We start from the raw sequence: 19127 nt of genomic DNA, 5'->3' as shown, positions 1-19127 counted from the left end.
ATTGGCTAAGGGCTCTTATTAAACAAAAAAGGGTAGAAGGGTCAATTATATCTTTCTCTCTTTTGGAGTAGCACACCCTTCTGCTGCCCTTGAGCATCAAAACTCTAGGTTGTTCTGCCATTTGACTCTGGGAATTGCACTTGCAGTCTACTGGGGCTCTCCTGCCATTGGACTCAGATTGAGACTTCCATCGTTGGCTTTCTCGGTTCTTAGACCTTCCAAATTGGACTGAGCATGCTAGTAGTTTCTCTGGTTCTTCAGCTTACAGATGATCTAGTGTGGGACATCTCAGCTTCCATAATAATTTGAGCCAATTCCCCTATTAACCCCTCACATATATTTATTTTCCTATCTATCTATCTATCATCCATCTATCTATCTATCTATCTATCCATCTATCACCTATCTATCTTTATATCTATTTATCTTTTGATTCTGTGTCTCTGGAGAATTTTGACGAATACAGAACCATAAGTAAAACATTTTTGTGTGTTTTTTCATGAAACGATTCCTGAAAACGTATTCCCATGACCAGGCCTAATCTTAAAAGTTTTTATTAGCCTATTAATAGAGCTGACATCACCACAATTTAAAACTTCTTAAGTTGGAATCACTCATACTTTTCTGTATAATTAATAAAGTGTTCATTGAAGAAATGATTCGCTCAATAAGATAAACTGCCCACACCTGGATGGAGCAACAGGCATAAAATAAGTAAGATAACATAATAAGAGTTGTAGCAAAACAAAACAAAACACCTATAGGGATTAAGGTGGGGAAAGGAGTAGTTCCCAGAAAAATAGTTTAGTTCCCCATAAAGATAAAATGGGCATGTGAGATTAAACCAAAAAATAATTTCTGTCTACTACAGCTTGTCATACCATTTGTGAATGAAATGTGAAGAATGATATCCTGTCATTTGCAACATAGATGGAACTGGAGGTCATTAGGTTAAGTGAATAAGCCAGGTCAGCAAGAAAAACTTTGCATGTTCTCATTTATCTGTGGGAGCTAAAAATTAAAACCTTTAAACTCATAGAGATAAAGAGTAGAAGGATGGGTACCAGAGACTGGGAAGGGTAGTGGGAAGATTGGGGCAGAGTGACTATGGTTAATGGGTGCAAAAAATAGTTGGATAGAATGAATAAGATCTAGCATGTCATAGCACATCAGGGTGACTATAGTCAATGCTAATTTATTATACATTGAAAAATAACTAGAAGTGTAGAATTAGATTGTAATACAAAGAAATGATAAATGCTTGAGGTGATGGATACTCCATTTAACCTGATGTGATTATAATGCATTGTATGCCAGTATCAAAATCACTCACGTGCCTCGTAAATATATGCCCTACTATGTGCCCACAAAAATTAAAAATAAAAAAAATTTAAAAGATCAAAATGGTAAAAGTGAATGTGTCTCAAAAAGCCTAAGAGTAGGAGATCAAGGAACCCATAGCATAAACACCTATTTTGCTTTGATAATTTTGTTACCAGCTAACATCCTGGACTACATGTATAATGTAAAGACATAAACTAAATTTGAAAACATTTCTTTACCCAAGCAAAATAAAGCAAACACATGAGGAAATAAAACCCCTACCTAACTGTAATAAAAAGACCAAAAAAATTTCCAAAACTTTCTAAAATGTATGATTTTATTAAGTGTTCTGTTGAATTAAAAGAAGGAAATTGAACAAAAGGGCAGTATTGCTCCTACAAAATGCTCTCCAGTTTTTATTTTAAACTACGACTCAGAAACAAATTAAAGATGCACTTAATCATATTCAAATTCAAAGAGCATAACCATAGGCTGACGCTATTTTATTTTTTTCTTTCCGCCCCCTCCGGTCTTGATAATGCCATGACAACTCATATCAAGTAGAAAATGTTTTGAATATAGTGAGCATGCACACTAGTAATGCTTTAATTATCTTAATGAGTGCAAAAGATTTCTTATTACAGACAAGGGAACAAAATTGCTTTTTACAGATTTACAACTGAGAACAATGAGAAAGTTAATGAGCTATTTATGAGAAAATGCATTTTAAAGAATAATATTCTGGATTCTCATAGATGTAAAAGGCATCTGTCACAAATTTCTAGTATCTTGAAAATGTTTCAGACTCATTGAGAAATCATATTATTAATATTTAGGACTAATGGCAAATTATCATATGTGTAATGTTGTCTGTGATACTATATGTAATGTAAAACGAACACACTTGCAAATTAATTAATATGTCACTTACAATTATCTTCGTGAAGACACAGTCAGGTATAATCAAGCTTAATGCACATATCAGATTTCACGTATCTGATTATAAATTAATCTTTAGCTGTAGGACAAATGACTACAAAATGGCAGTGTAAGTATGGCACATAAGACATGAAATATTAATGAGAACTAGTTGTACTTACCTCTCAACAACATCTAAATAGGAATCTGTTTGCAGACCTTGAGTGGTTGTAGCACATTTCTACTACAGAAAAGAAAATAAATGCAGTGACTTTTAAAATCTCAGTAAGCCCGGCTTTCAAATGTATAATTTACTATTTTATTGGCTGCTTATAAATGGATAATAATAAGCTCCTGGCTGAATGTAAGCTCATAAATGCAGGATCAAAAATGAGGAGAATGCCATAAGATAATAAAAGTATAAGTTTATGGTACTAATTTTCCTCTAAGTAACTACAGTGTGAGTAAAAAAATACAACTATAGTGGTAAAATGTGAATAGAAATTTTGATATTCTGCTTGTGCAGAACAAGGTTTTTATAGGAAAAGAATCTTTGGAAATATAATCACCCATACTTTTGTAACAATGCAGGATCAGCCAGTACTAAGATTGCTGCTTAGGTTGGATGGCTTCAATGGGTAATAATTTTCATATTTATTACTATTTGTTTTTTTGATATATTCCTAAATCTCAAGCATGTATGGATTAGCTAGTCATGTTAATCAATGGTCATGAATATAGAAATATTTTCTCTTAGTGTTTTGATAGAACTATTAATATTTTTGTTCTTTGTTGCTCACATATTTTTAAATACAAAAACAAATATGTATATACATACGTGTGTGTGTGTGTGTGTTTACATATATAACTATTTTGGTACTAATGAACATTGTCACAAATAAATTGTAATTACATAATAGAATTAGTGATCTTATTAGTATTTTATTTATTATACTGAATATAGTTTTGTCCAAGTTGACTTAAATACATTGGCATCCAGGATATTACAAAGATTTGAAGATGTTAGCTGAAATCAACTTTATTTAATTTAGTAAATCTTCATTGTGATGCCATTGTGGTAAGAGAAAACAAAGCAGAAAGGATATTTACCCATTTTTATACATTAATTATGAACTAATATTTTTCTGATTATACAAAAAAATAAAGACGATGATTTGAAATAAACTCTGTTTTAAATATATCAATAGCATTTGGGAAATTATAAAGTTTGTACTGGCTTTAGACATCGCTCACAGGTATCAGGCATTTCATATAATTATTTCTAAGACTCCATGATCTCCAGACTCATATGGCCAGATACCTACTAAAAATTTGTACATAGATATCTAATGGGCATCAAAAACTTAACGCATGCAAAACTGAGCTCCTGGTTTTCCCTCAAAATCTGCTCCTCCCAACTGCTTTCTCCTTCTCAGTAAATGGCAGTGCCATCATTAGATCTGCTAAGAACAAAAATCTTGAATTCATTTGTTTTACTTAGAATTTAAGCTAAAATACAAGTAATGGAGACCTGATTACAGTGGTTTAAACATAAGAATGATTTTTTCCTATTTGACAAATATTTTAGATATAGACAACCACTGTTACCAGTTTAGGGCTTAAAATGCATCATTTGCAAACATCTTGGTATTTTAGTCCATATTCCAGATAGCAGAAAGGAACAAAAGATGAGTACATGCTATATAATGTGCATATTTCACGTTGCATGCCTGTATCAGAGTATCTCATGTACACCATGAAGATGGACCTCTACTATGTACCTACATAAAATTTTAAAAACAAAAAAATTTTTAAAAAGAAAAGATGAGTACAATAAAGTAAACATTCTAGCTAAGCAACTCATTTTAAAGTGCATTCCCAAAAGCTCCACCAGGCAATTTTATCGTTGCATTTTCTTGGCTACTTTCATTTGAAAGAGAAGCTGAGAAATGAATTCTCTTTCTCCTCTTCCTTCTTCCCCTCCTCCTTCTCTTCCTTCTTTTATAACTTGAAAATATTCCCACCTCCAATAATAAGGATAATTTGTTATTAAGAAAGAAAATGGCAAGCAGTCAGCAGTCTCTTTTTAATTATTCTTAAAGCCTTTCTCTTAAGCCCTACTTCCAGCCCACAAGAAAACACTGTCATCTCTTCCATGAAAAAAAAATCATATAAAACTCGACACTTTTCACCCCTTCAGCTGCTACAGCTTTGCTCCAAGCCAGTATCTGTCACCTGTGTTATGGCAATAGCCTCTAATTAGTCTCTGTTTTGGCCACCACCACGCTATGATCTATTCTCAGTGTGGCAGCCATACTGATTCTTCTAAAATGTTTTGTCATACCTCTCCACTGCTCAAAACTTTCCAATGCTTTTTATTCCACACAATGTAAAGTTAAGAGTCCTAATAGCAAGTTAAAAGGTATTACTTCAGAACTCTCTATTTTCAGCCCCTACTGTACTCTCCCTTCTCTCTTATATATTTGAAAACACAAGGTATCATTCAAGGGCAGTGTCCACAATGAAGGGAGGCAAAAAGAATACTACGTGGACATGAGATGATGACGGAAATATTTAAAGGAGGCAGTATTAGGCCCCCTGGGCACTGGGCATATGGATAGATAGAATTATAAGATTGAGAGTGTAAGTGAAGAAAACAAACAAACAAAATGTGTTTCTGTATCACTTGTTATTTGCAACTCTGGAGGAAGACATCATTACAGTATGTTACATGCCAACATGAGATAGTTCAATGGAGTACAGTTGAATATATTTTATGTTCTGGTAAATAGAGTATCTAAGATGATTTATTTCTCTGTTTCACATTGTCCCAATGGGCCATGGAGTAGAACCAGAAATTTCTGCATGCCCTACCTAATGGGAAGGTGTAAGAGCGTTGAGAGAACTGATGGCCAAAATAGGCCCGGGCTTATGACAAAGAAGGTTCAAAGTCTGTGATTCTTATGAATACAGGCCACTGCACATTCCAGAAATGTCAGCAGTCAAAGTTAGCATATGTCCAAAATTTAGGACAAGCTCAGTTGCAACAAAGTAGTTAAGGTAGGGACAGAGGGTGGCACCACAGACCAATTGTGATAAGTCATTCTAGCAGACAATGATGATGCTCCAGAGGATAGTACATAAATAAGACATCACTCCCAATGTTTTGCAATTTCTCCTGCACCCAGGCACAAGCAGAAACAAGAATATAGGAGTATAACACTAATAAATGCTTGTACTGTATAGGATTTGAATGTGTACAATTTTTGATTTACTCACTAAAACTCAAAGTGCAGAAATATTACTTCTTGTATTTCCTTTATAAGTGATGTCATAGATGGCCCATGACAAAATGGAAAAGTAGACAGAAGAGGATGTTTGCCTTTTAAAATAACATCATTTTTTCCGTATTACTTGAACCTCTTTCAGTACTCAGGACTTCACAGGCAAAGGAGCAGCACGTCTGGTTAATAAAGAAAAATAATATTTCTTTTTAAGGAACTGAATATGTTAGACCTCCAGAGAACATCTGAATTTTAAAATGAGGGACATCTGTAGAGTATGATATCTAAAAGAAGTTAGTAGAGGATTTTAGTATTTCATTATGCAAGTCACATATATTTAGCAAAGGAGCTCTGTATTGACACAATTCTCATCAAACTTTATAAAGCTAACTCCCTTGCCTATTCTGCCTATGCAAAAATTCTGTCCATAAAGGCAGGATAATATATTTGCTACTTATCTTCAAAGGAAACAGAAGACCTGCTAAGCCTGGAATTGAAGAATATTTAAGGAAAGGACTATTCCGCAAATTATGGCAAGATTAAGAGAACCAATGAGGCAGATTGAGGCATCTGGTAACTAGCAACAGAAAGAAGTCCTTGTAACCATTGGCTCTCAAGGGACAAAAAGGAAGAAATGGTGATATTGAGACCATTAGCTCTAACAATGGTTAGAGCTAAAGCCATACAAAGGAGGCTGCCAAACAGGAGCTATATTTACTCATTTTTTTTTGTTCTGTGCACCTCTTTGTCAGTAAAAAAAAAAATGGATCCCTTCACAGAATACTAATTTTAAATGCCAAAATAAAATACATAGGATTAAGAAGCAAAGGAAAGTAATCTCACAGTTGATAGACAAGTATTTCTTAACATAAGAAAGTAATCTCAGAGCTGACTGACAGGTATTCCAGAATCACAGAGACTTGCTTTTTCCAAGCAGTAAGTACATTAGTTTGTTGGATAATACCTTCTAAATATAATCAAATGCAAATTTTGTAAGTTTAGTTAGTCTTTGATATTTGCACAGAGAAATTAATTTGGGGGGCTTATTTACTTAAATGTTGTGATTAGAAAATTAGTTGTTAATTATATCAAATTTACTTTTATCATTTATTAAGATCATTTTTCATTTTTATCAAAATGGTGAATTAGCTAAAATAGATAAAACTATGACTCTATGATCTCTGCATTCCCAGGTTAATCTTAATTGATCATGATGTAATTTTTATGCATGTATTACAGGAGGCAATGCAGTTACATATTATCAAAAATGTGTGTGTCAGTGTCTATCAGTGAGGTGAATTGGTATGCTTATTTTCTCCTAGATCTGTCTTTGTCAGACATTGGTTACAATGTTATGATGATTTAGTAATAATGAAAATAAACAAAGTAGCACACTACCAGTGTGCTAAGCATATTTCACTTATTCTTGAATCTTGAAAAAAAAGCATAATTTTTTTCTTTGTTCTCTATACTTAGGAATAGCTAAATAGCAACAAAATTATCTGTTCTTAAACATACTGCAAAAACTGCCTGCAAAATTTTCTGGGCCAGAAAAAATTCATAGTATAACCCTTTGAAAATGTACTCAATATTGTATATAATACTCATCTGATTAGCTTTTCTACTGCTTCTTGAGTCAATTTATTGGTAATTATAATTTTCTTATAAATTAATCATTTTACTCAAATTTGTATAAAGTCAGTTCAAAGAATAATTAATTTTACTTTTATTTGCTTTGTTGAGTGTTTTTCTGTTACTCTGTTTTTCATTGTAATTGTGGGCTTTTCTCTTCATAAATTTTATTTTGCAATTGATCTCACTTAGAATAATTTATTGCCTATTAGTTTACTTTTTCTAATACTTTAATATAATATGCATATTTCTCCACTTTTACTTAGGGTTTTTTTTTCTTTCTTTTATCTTTCTTTTTTTTTTTTTTTTTTGAAGACCGAGTCTTGCTCTGTCGCCCAAGCTGCAGTGGTGCTGTCTCAGCTCACTGTAACCTCCACCTCCTGGGTTCAAGCGATTCTCCTACCTCACCCTCCTGAGTAACTGGGACTACGGGTGCACGCCACCACACTGGCTAATTTTTGTATTTTTAGTAGCCATGGGGTTTCACCATGTTGGCCAGGATGATCTCGACCTCCTGACCTCCTTATCCACCCACCTCAGCCTCCCAAAGTGCTGGGATTACAGGCATGAGCCACCGCGCCCAGCCTACTTAGGTTTTTATCTTAAGCAAAACAATTAAATTTCTCCTTTTATTGTGTTTAGAAAGAAATTTGTTTAAAAGCTATAACGTATCTACTGTGCTTATCTCATGAGCTGTGATAATCTCCTGATTATTTTCTGGATAGACATAAGTGCTAGTGTTGATTTACTCATCAACCTACAAGTTGTTCAAAAGAGAGCTCCCCACTGTTCTATCCATGGTTCAATGTTTTTGTTTTCTTACTAAGAACTAAAGTTCTCTGTTCATCCATTATGTGAGATGTGAAAATGCAAAACTCCCACTCCCATCAATGCAATTAAAACTATGTATAATGTTTATTGTCTGATAATTTTTTTTTCCTTGCATACATGCTCATTTTAACAAACCAACTAGAGTGCTTTTCTTTCAGAATGATGACATGTAGTGTTTCACAGAGACACTCCCTTGTGAAAAATGCCTAACTAGCATAAAAACATTTAAAATCACAACCACTTAATGTCCCTAGAAATCGTCCTAATTAACAAAACTAAATTATTTTAAAAATCTACTAAAACTTAGTAAGAGCACAGAGACCCCATGGTATCTGAGACCTTCTCCTTCACCTATCCTGGGCTCATCTTGACAGAAATTTTATATCGGGTGGATATAGCCAAGAGGATAGACTCTCTACTCTCAAATCCAAATTAAGGTTTACTCTATCTCTCACCTAGAGGGGTAGGTCATCAACATGTTTTATCTCCTCCAACTCCTAGCTAAAGAGGCCAAATTAATAGTGAGTGTGACCAAGAAGTGGGACCTTTTACCTACACCCAGTCTCTACATAGAGGATAGAAGCTCTAACCCAAATGTGGTAAGCTGAGAATTCTGGGACCCCCAAATGCTATTGCCCTAGCTCATTTATTGGGCAGTTTCCATGTTAGGAGAGGCAAGCATAAGAGAGCACAGTCTAGTGGCCTGCCTAGTGCCCAGAGTAGTTAGTCATATAGTTAGCCAGAGAGAAGGGAAGAGTATAAGGAAAGAGAGCTATGAAGCTCCCCTTACAAAATATGACTTTATAGAACATGTAGGAGTTTTAAATTAAGGACACTCTCAGTAGCAATGGCTCTTCTCAATCAAGATCAGCAATCTGAAACATAGGCCAGATACTTTACCAGAATGTATGAAAAAATGTAGCTAAGAATAGCGACCCTAAAGTCATGACAAAGTTTAAAGACTGGCCTTAAATACTATTCCTGACCCAACTTATCTGGATCAAATTGCTGAGCAATACTTCACTCAGGGTATTGCTGAATACAATAGAGAAATCAGCTGATAATGAAGCTGAACTGGAGGGAAATAATACCAAATGATGCAGAGAGTTTTACAGAAAAAGTATGAAAAGAGATAATCAAAGAGATCTCTGACAAAGCCACTACAATCTCAGGGTGATTATACACAGCCATGTAGGTGACTTCAAAGGAGGAACACAAAAGGCTTCAAACTGCTGTAGCAATCAATTTCACTAAAATGGCCTAGCCAGGTTAAAAATAATAATAATAACAAAGTAAGCAACAACAGAAACAGAGACAGGAAAAAAAAAAAACTTAGTACCCCAAATTGCCACAATATATGACCTATAACGTTCAGTTATCAAAAAACTACAAGATATGCAAATAAATAGGAATGTGTGAATGATACACAGAAAAAAGGAAACAATGGGAAAAGTATGTAAAAATGAGGAGCTATCAGATATAACAGAAAAAGACTTAAAGGAGCCATGATAAATATGTTCAAATAACTATCATGAAGATCTCTATTAACAACTGAACATCAAATGTAGAAGAACTAGAAAAGTAAGCATAAACCAACTCAGAAGCAAGCAGAAAACAAAAGAAATAAGCAAAATTAGACCTGAATACAATTGACACAAAAAATACAGAAAATTTTTATAAAACTAGGTTTGTTTTTTGAAAGAATAAATAAGATTGATGGACTGCTAGCTAGAATAATAAAGAAAAGAAAAAAAAAGACAAGATCCAAGTAAATACAACCAAAAATGACAGAGGACATTATCACAACATTCACAGAAATGCAAAAATCATCAGTGACTATTACAAACACCTCTATGAACACAAACTAGAAAACCTAGAAAAAATGAATAAATTCCGAGAAGCATACAACCTCTCAAAATTGAACTAGGAAGAAATTCAAATGCTGAACAGACCAATAATGAGTTCCAAAATTGAATCAGTAATAAAAAGCCTACCAACCAGAAAAAGCCCAAAACCAGATTAATTAAAAGCTGAATTCTACAAGATGTATAAAGAAGAGCTGGTACCATTCTAACTGAAGCTGTTCCAAAAACTTAAGAGGAGGGATTCCTGCCTAACTCTTCTATGCGGCCAGCATTATTCTGATAACAAACCTGGCAGAGACACAATGACAACAGCAACAACAACAAACACTGCCAAAATGCTCAAAAAAAAAAAAAAAAAAAGAAAGAAAGAAAGAAAAAAAACTGGCAAAATGAATCCAGCAGCACATCAAAAAGCTAATCCACCATGATCAAGTCGACTTTATCTTTGGGAGGCAAGGTTGGTTCAACACATGCAAATCAATAAATGTGGTCTATTACATAAACAGAACTTTAAAAAAATGATCATCTCAATAGATGCAGAAAAGGCTTTCAGCAAAAATCAGCATTCTTTCATGTTTAAAACTCTCACCAAATTAGGCATTGAAGAAACATACTTCAAAATGATAAGAGCCATCTATGACAAACACATGGCCAACATCTTAGGAAACAGGCAAAAACTGGAAACATTCCCCTAGGGAAATGGAACAAGACAAGGGTGCCCACTCTCCACAATTCTAGTGAACATCGTACTGAATGTCCTAGCCAGAGCAATCAAGCAAAGAAATGAAAGGCAACCAAATAGGAAGAGAGGAATTCAAACCATCTCTCTTTGTAGTTGATATGATTTTATACCTAGAAGACCTCATAGTCTCTGCCCCAAAGTTCTTAGATCTGGTAACCAGCTTCAGAAAAGTTTCATGATACAAAATTATTACCGGTAGTGGGTCTTGACTACACACTCTCTAGGTCCTTGGCGTTTTAAACAAAGAATTGAACAAAACGCACAAAGTAGCAGAGAAATGAAATGCAAGAACGAAGCAGTGAAAGCAAGAATTTATTAAAGCGAGAAAGCACTCTGCAGGGAGGGAGTGGGTCCCAGCAAGCGGCCCCATGGCCCAGTTACAAAAGTTTCTGGGCTTTAAGAACTCTGTTTGAGGTTCTTGGACTACCCCTTATCTGGATGAAGGATTTGGTCTGTGGTTAAAGGCTGCTGTGAATTGGTGCCCAATGCAGATAAAGGGATGGTCCCTGCTTGGCCTGTGGCTAATCCAAGGTACTCTCCCTTTCCAACTGAGATGGTGGAAGGGGGAGGGAGGGTTGTTGGGAGAGTAGCCTTTGTTCCTTTGTTACTCCCTGTGGGAGATGGGGTTTTTCCTTTTGGTTTAGCTTTAGGAATTTTGTGTTAATTGGCCTTAGGTTCCCTGCCCCCAGACCCAGGTGTTTTCCTTTTGATCCAGCTTTGAAAAGTCAGAGTGAATTGCCCTTAGATTCCTTGCCCACAGAGCTTGATGTTTTTCTGTGACTCAGCACGAATTGGCCTTAGGTTACCTGCCTCCAAGCCCTATTCTCCTGCCTAAAAATCAATCTGCAAAAATAAGTACCATTTTATACACCAGCCACATCCAAGCTGAGTGTCAAATCAAGAACACAATTCTTTACAAAATAGCTGCAAAAAGAATAAAATATTAGTACCTAGGAATAAAGCTAACCAGGGACGTGAAAGACCTCTTCAAGGAGAACTACCAAACAGTGCTCAAAAAATCAGGGCACAGTGGCTCACGCCTGTAGTCCCAGCACTTTGGAAGTCCGAGGCAGACATATCGCTTAAATCCAGGAGTTTGAGATCAGCCTGGGCAACATGGCGAAATCCTGTCTCTACAAAAAATACAATTAGCGAGGCAGGCGTGGTGGCACGCAACTGTGGTCCCAGCTACTCAGCAAGCTAAGATAGGAGGATCCCTTGAGCCAGGGAGGTGGAAGTGGCAGTGAGCTGAGATCGCAGCACTGCACTCCAGCCTCGATGACAGAGTAAAACCCTGTCAAAAAAAAAAAAAAAAAAAAAAAAAAACAGAAGAAGATGATGAAAGAAGGAAAGACAGAAAGACAGAAAGAAAGAAAGCAGGAAGGCAGGAAGGAAAGAAAGAAATCAGAAATGACAAAAAACAGATGGAAAAATATTCCATGCTCATGGATAGGATGAATCAATATCATAAAAATGGGCATACTGCCCAAAGCAATTTACAGATTCAATGCCATTTCTATCAGAGTACCAATGACATTCTTCACAGAATTATAAAAAAAAAAAATATATATATATATATGGAACCAAAACAGAGCCGGAATAGCCAAAGACATTCTAAGAAAAACAAAACAAACAAACAAACAAAAAACATTAAAGCTGGAAGCATTACATTACTGAACTTCAAACTATACTACAAGGCTACAGTAACCAAAATAGCGTGGAAGTGGTACAAAAACAGACACATAGATCAATGGAACAGAATAGAGAGCCCAGAAATAAAGCCACACGCCTACAACCATCTGTTCTTTGAAAATGTCAACAAAAAAAGGCAGTGGGAAAAGGCCTCCCTATTTAATAAATGGAGCTGGGATAGCTGGCTAGTCATATGCAGATGATTGAAAGTGAACCACTTTCTTACACCATATACAAAAATCAACTCAAGATTATTAAAGACATAAATGTAAAACCTAAAATTATAAAAACCTTTGAAGAAAACCCAGGAAAATCCATTCTAGACATAAGCCTTGACAAAGATTTTATGACAATGATGCCAAAAGCAATTGCAACAGAAAGAAAAATTGACAAATGGGACCTAATTAAACTAAATAGCTTCTGCACAGCTGACATCATACTTAATAACCAAAAGCTGGAAGAATTTCCCTTGAAAACTGGAACAAAACAAAGATGCCCACTCTCACCACACCTATTCAGCATATTACTGGAAATCCTATCCAGAGCAATCGGGCAAGACAAAGAAACAAAAGACAGTCAAATAAAAAGACAGGGAGTCAAACTCTCTTCAAAGACATTATAATTCTATACCCAGAAAATCCTCTAGTCTCTGTACAAAGGCTTCTAGATCTGATGAATGACTTCAGCAATGTTTCAAGAATCAACATCAGTGTACAAACATCAGTAGTATTTCTATCCATCAATACTGTCCAAGCTGAGAGCCAAATCAAAAATACAATTCCATTCCCAATAATCACATACATATACACAAAAATACCTAGGAAAACAACTAACCTGAGAAGTTAAAGATCTTTTCAACAAGAATTACAAAATGCTGCTCAAAGAAATCAAAGATGACACAAACAAATGGAAAAACACTCCAAGCTCAGGGATAGGAAGAATCAATATTTTTAAAATGGCCACAAGAATGACCCGAGCAATTTACAGATTCAGTGCTACTCCTATCAAATTATTAATGCCATTCTTCACATAATCAGAAAAATCTTTTTTAAAATTCACGTGGAACAAAAATATAACAAACATCCAAAGCAATCCTAAGCAAAAAGAAAAAAGCTGGAAGCATCATAACATCCAACTTCACACTATAGTGCCAGGGTAAAATAACTAAAATAGCATGGTACTGGTACAGAGATGGGCACATAGATCAATAGGAAAGGATGAAAGGCCACAAATAAAGCCACACACCTAAAAACATCTGATCTTCGACAAAACTGACAAAAACAAGCAATTGGGAAAGAATCCCCATTCAATGAATGGTGCTGGGATAGCTGGCTTGCCATATGCAGAATGTTGAAATGGGACTCCTTCCTTATACCCTATACAAAAATCAACTCAAGATAGCTTGAAGACTTAAATGTAAAACCTAAAGCTATAAAAACTATAGAGGAAGACCTATGAAATGCCATTCTTAGACATTGGCCCTTGCTCAGAAATCATGATGCAGCCTCCAAAGGTAATTTCAACAAAAACAAAAAATTGACAAATCGGACCTAATCAATCTAAAGAGCTTCTGCAAAACAAAAGAAACTATCAGAGTAAACAGACAACCTACAATATGGGTGAAAATATTTGGAAACTGTGCATCCAGCAGAAGTCTAATATCCAGAATCTAGAAGGAACTCAAGTCAACAAGCAAAAATAATCCCATGTAAAAATGGGCAAAGACATGAACAGACAATTTTCAAAAGAAGATACACACGTGGCTATCAAGCATATGGAAAAATGTTCAATATCACAAATCATTAGGGAAATGCAAATCAATGCCACGAAGAGATACCATCAGAATGGCTATCAGAATAACACCAGTCAGAATGGCTATCATTAAAAAGTCAAAAATAAATAAATAACAGATGCTGGAGAGGTTGTGGAGAAAAGGGAAGGCTTCTACACAGTTAGTGGGAATTTAATTTTTCTTTAGCCAATGTGGAAAACACTTTGGAGATTTCTCAAAGAAGTTAAAACAAAACTAACATTTGACCTAGCAATTCAATTAATGGGTATATACTCAAAGGAATATATATTATTCTACCATAAAGACACACACATGAGTAAGTTCATCGCTGCACTATTCACAATAGCAAAGACATGGAATTAACCTAGATGGCCACCTACAGTGAATGGGATAAAGAAAATGTGGTGCATGTAATGTACATCATGGAATACTACAAAGATTTTTAAAAATTAGATCATATTCTTTGCCACAGCATGAATGAAGCTGGAGGCCATAATCATAAGTCAATTAATGCAGGAACAGAAAACCAAAGACTACATGTTCTTACTTATAGGTGGGAGCTAAACATTGGTACCCATGGACACAAAGTAAGAAACAATAGACACTGGAGCTTATTTGAGGTTGAAAGGTAGGAGGATAGTGAGAATTGAAAAACTCTCTACTGGGTAGTATGCTGATTACCTGTGTTACAAAATTATCTGTATGCCAAACCAGCATGACATGCAATTTACCCGTATAACAAACTGGCACATGTACTCCTTAAACCAAAATAAAAACTGGGGGGAAAATATCTCAGTAACTAAGTCTAAAAAACAAAGGCTTCCAAATTACTTGAATGAATTTAAAAAATGTCCATAGTTATCAATAATTATTTTATTATTTTTATACTTCTGTTTACTTTTTAATAGACTATAACAAAATAAACTACCTAATAATACATCTAACAAAAATGTGTTTTGAATATAATAAAAACCATAGAAAGTTCCTAAGTTATATGAATGTAGACATAAACACATGAAAAATCAAATCATGTTATTAGATGGGAAAACTCAATATTATCAATATCAATTGTTCTTAAGGTAATTTACAAATTTAATTTTGTTCCAATACAGATACAATTAAGTAATGCAGATGGGCATGTTATTGTATAAAAGTCTTTTATTTCTTTCCAAACACTATTTTAGGTTTAGGGGGTACATGTGCAGGTTTGTTACAAGGGTAAGTTGCATGTCACAGAGGTTTGGTGTACAGATCATTTCACCAGCCAGGTGATGAGCATAGCATCACATAGGTAGGGTTTTAATTCTCAATCTCCTCTCACCTTCCACCCTCAAGTAGGCCCCAATGTCTATTGTTCCCTTCCTTATGTCCCTGTGTACTCAACGTTTAGCTCCCACTCATAAGTGAGATCATGTGGTATTTGGTTTCTGTTCCTGCATTAATTTGCGTAAGATAATGTCCTCTGTCTGCATACATGTTGCTGCAAATGACATAATTTTACTTATTTTTATGGCTGTGAAGCATTCCATGGTATATATGAACCACATTTTCTTTATCAAGTGCACCATTGATGGACATCTGGGTGGATTCCATGTCTTTGCTATTGTGAATAGTTCTGTGATGAACCTACATGTGCATATGTCATTATGGTAGAAAAATTTATATTCCTTTGTGTATATACTTAGTAATGTGATTGTTTGGTCAAATGGTAATTGTGTTTTAAATACTTTGAGGAATCACCAAACTGCCTTCTGCAATGGCTGAACTAATTTACATTCCCACCAGCAGTGTATAAGCATTCTCTTTTCTTTGCAACCTCACCAACATCTGTTATTTTTTGACTTTTTTATAATAGCCATTCTGACTGGTGTGAGATAGTATTGCATTGTGGTTTTAATTTGTGCTTCCCTAATGATTAGTGATATTGTGCATTTTTTCATATGCTTGTTGGCCATGTGTTTGTCTTCTGAGAAGTGTCTGTTCATGTCATTTGCCCATTTTTAGTGGAGTTCTTTCTTTCTTTTTTTCTTGATTTTGTAAAGTTACTTATAGATTCTGGATATTAGGTTTCTGTTGGATGTATAGTCTGCAAGTGTATTTTCCCACTCTGTAGGTTGTCTGTTTACTGTGTTGGTAGTTTCTTTCACTATGTCAAAGCTCCTTAGTTTAATTTGGTCCCGTTTGTCAATTTTTATTTTTGTTGAAATTATTTTTGGAGTCTTCACCATGAAATCTTTGCCAGACCAATATCCAGAATAGTATTTCCTAGGTTTTTCTCTAGGGTTTTATAGTTTTAGGTTTTACATTTAAGTCTTTAATCCATGTTGAGTTGCTTTTTACATCTGTTTAAATAAAGGGGTTCAGTTTTAATCTTCTGCCTATGGCTAGTAAATTATCCTAGTAGCATTTATTGAATAGGGATTTCTTTCTGCATTGCTTGCTATTGTTGAGTTTGTCAAAGATCAAATGGTTCTAGGTGGACGACTTTATTTCTGGGTTCTCTAACCTGTCCCATTTATCTATGTGTCTGTTTTTGTACCAGTACCATACCTTTTTGGTTATTATAGCCTTGTAGTATAGTTTGACATCAGCTATTGTGATGCCTCTGGCTTTGTTATTTTGCTTAGGATTTCTTTGCTGTTTGGGCTCTGTTTTTGTTCCATGTGAATTTTAGAAGTGATTTTTCTAACTATGTGGAAAACCTCATTGGTAGTTTGTAGGGTTTTTGCTGAAAGGTCTACTCTTAGCCAGATTGGGTTCTTTTTGTAAGCAACTTGCCCCTTATTTCTAGCTGCCATATATATATGTATATATATATGCCATATATATACATATGCCATGTATATATGCCATATATGATATGCCATATATGATATGCCATATATGATATGCCATGTATGATATGCCATATATGATATGCCATGTATTATATGCCATATATGATATGCCATATATTATATGCCATATATGATATGCCATATATAATATGCCATATATATGCCATATATAATATGCCATATATTATATGCCATATATTATATGCCATATATAATATGCCATATATTATATGCCATATATAATATGCCATATATATGCCATATATAATATGCCATATATATATGCCATATATAATATGCCATATATATATGCCATATATAATATGCCATATATATGCCATATATAATATGCCATATATATATGCCATATATAATATGCCATATATAATATGCCATATATAATATGCCATATATATGCCATATATACTTATATATGTATATATGTGATATATATGGCATATATATACTTATATATGTATATATGTGATATATATGGCATATATATACTTATATATGTATATATATGTGATATATATATGCCATATATATACTTATATATGTATATATGTGATATATATATATGTGTGTATATATATATATATACTGCATTGGGGATGGTTGCCTTGCATACTGTTTCACAGGGGTTCCCTGAATTTCCTTACTTTGAACATTGCTTTCTCTACTGAGGTTGGAGAAATTTTTGTGGACAATACCCTTGAATATATTTTCCAAGTTTCTAGTTCCCTCTCCTTGTTTTTCAGAGACACCAATGTGTCATAGGTGTGGTGGTCTCTTTATATAATTCCATATTTCTTGTAGGTTTTGTTAATTCTTTTGTATTTTTTTCTTCTTTATTTTTGTCTGACTGAGATTCAAAGAACTGGTCTTTGAACTCTGAGATTCTTCCTGCAGCTTGGTCTATTCTGCTGTAAATACTTCCAATTGTATTATGAAATTGTTGTAGTGAAAATTTCAGCTGTAGAAAATCAGTTTGGTTTTTGCATATAATAGTTATTTTCTGTTTGAGCTCTTGTATCATTTTACTAAATTTCTTAGTTTCCTTGGCTTGAGTTTCAATTTTTTCCTGAATCTTCATGATCTTCATTGTTATCCAGATTCTGAATTATATGTTTATATTTTAGACATATCAGCTTGGTTAAAAAGTATTGCTGGAGAGCTAGTTCAATTGTTTGTTTGGATATAAGGGTGCTCACCAACCCTGTGCAGGGTTCCCAGCTTCCTCCCCCTTCAGTCTATGTCCTCCCTTTACCCACTCTCAATGCCTTCTTCCTGAAAATTTGCTTGGAGTATGCTGGTCTTTTTGATAGTCTAGTCTCTTAGTGGGGGAAGCTCTTTCTATCTGCATCTAGTTGGCCATTTTGGCACTTTTGCAAAAAAAATTGTATAGATGAAAACTCAAATAAGACTATCCAAGTAAACTAAACTTTTTGAGCTATATGAGCTTTGGAATCCCCTTGCCTTTTCTTTGTCCACTTCCCAGCTTCTGGAGTGCCATGTTGTCCTCCCTACTGATCTCTCAGGTCCTGTGAGTCACAGGGAATAGAAAGTTGAGGCAGAGCCATGTGGGCCTCCCAGAGTGAAGAAAAAAAAAGCAGTGGAGGCTGCTCAATAACTACTTTGAATGTAAATAGTTTAAACTGCCCAATCAAATGACATAGATTGGCAGAATATTTTAAAATAGAAACATGATTTAACTATACACTGACTATAAAGACTCATTTTAAATCTAAGGATATACAGTAAAAATGAAAGGATAGTTGATTTTCATACATTATATGAATGTATCAAATTATCACATATACCCTGAAAATATGTACATCTATTATGCATAAATAAAAAAAGAAAAAAATGAAGAAACATATTTAGCAAAGAAAGTGAAAGAATGGGGAAAATATTTCATGCAAATAGTAAAAAAAATTGAGCAGAAGTGGCTACATTAATATTAGACAAATAATTCTCAAGTCAAAAATAGTTACTAGAGACAAAAATGGACATTATGTAATAATAAAGTGTTCAAATAACCAAGAAGATACAGTAGTCCTCCCTTATCCACGTGGCATAAGTTTCAAGACTCATCCCACAATAGATGCCTAAAACCATTGATAGTACCAAATCCTATATCTATCTATATATATGTATATATGTGTATATATGTATATATATGTGTGTGTGTGTATATATATATACTAT

The 19127-nt window shown here is 34.4% G+C and overlaps 1 long non-coding RNA gene across 2 annotated transcripts in view, besides 1 other annotated feature; it reads right to left on the bottom strand.

Annotated features, from left to right (window-relative positions):
* LOC102724150 (uncharacterized) overlaps positions 1-19127 on the bottom strand; it is a 52126-nt gene that overhangs the window by 11081 nt on the left and 21918 nt on the right. For both annotated transcript variants that reach the window (XR_001755912.1, XR_938461.2), the window contains one exon: positions 2424-2485. This is a non-coding gene — a long non-coding RNA (uncharacterized LOC102724150). The remainder of the gene's footprint in view (positions 1-2423; positions 2486-19127) is intronic.
* Positions 10888-11651: an enhancer, noted in NCBI's record as "OCT4-NANOG hESC enhancer chrX:88687522-88688285 (GRCh37/hg19 assembly coordinates)". NCBI's record gives its function as "activates a minimal SCP1, AML or CMV promoter by ChIP-STARR-seq in naive and primed H9 embryonic stem cells {active_cell/tissue: H9 hESC(naive and primed)}" and the evidence as "EXISTENCE:reporter gene assay evidence [ECO:0000049][PMID:30033119]".

This window comes from Homo sapiens, chromosome X (assembly GCF_000001405.40).
Source record: "Homo sapiens chromosome X, GRCh38.p14 Primary Assembly".
NCBI classification, from domain to species: domain Eukaryota; kingdom Metazoa; phylum Chordata; class Mammalia; order Primates; family Hominidae; genus Homo; species Homo sapiens.
Note: the sequence above shows the minus strand (reverse complement) of the source record. Positions and strands in the feature narration are given on the sequence as shown.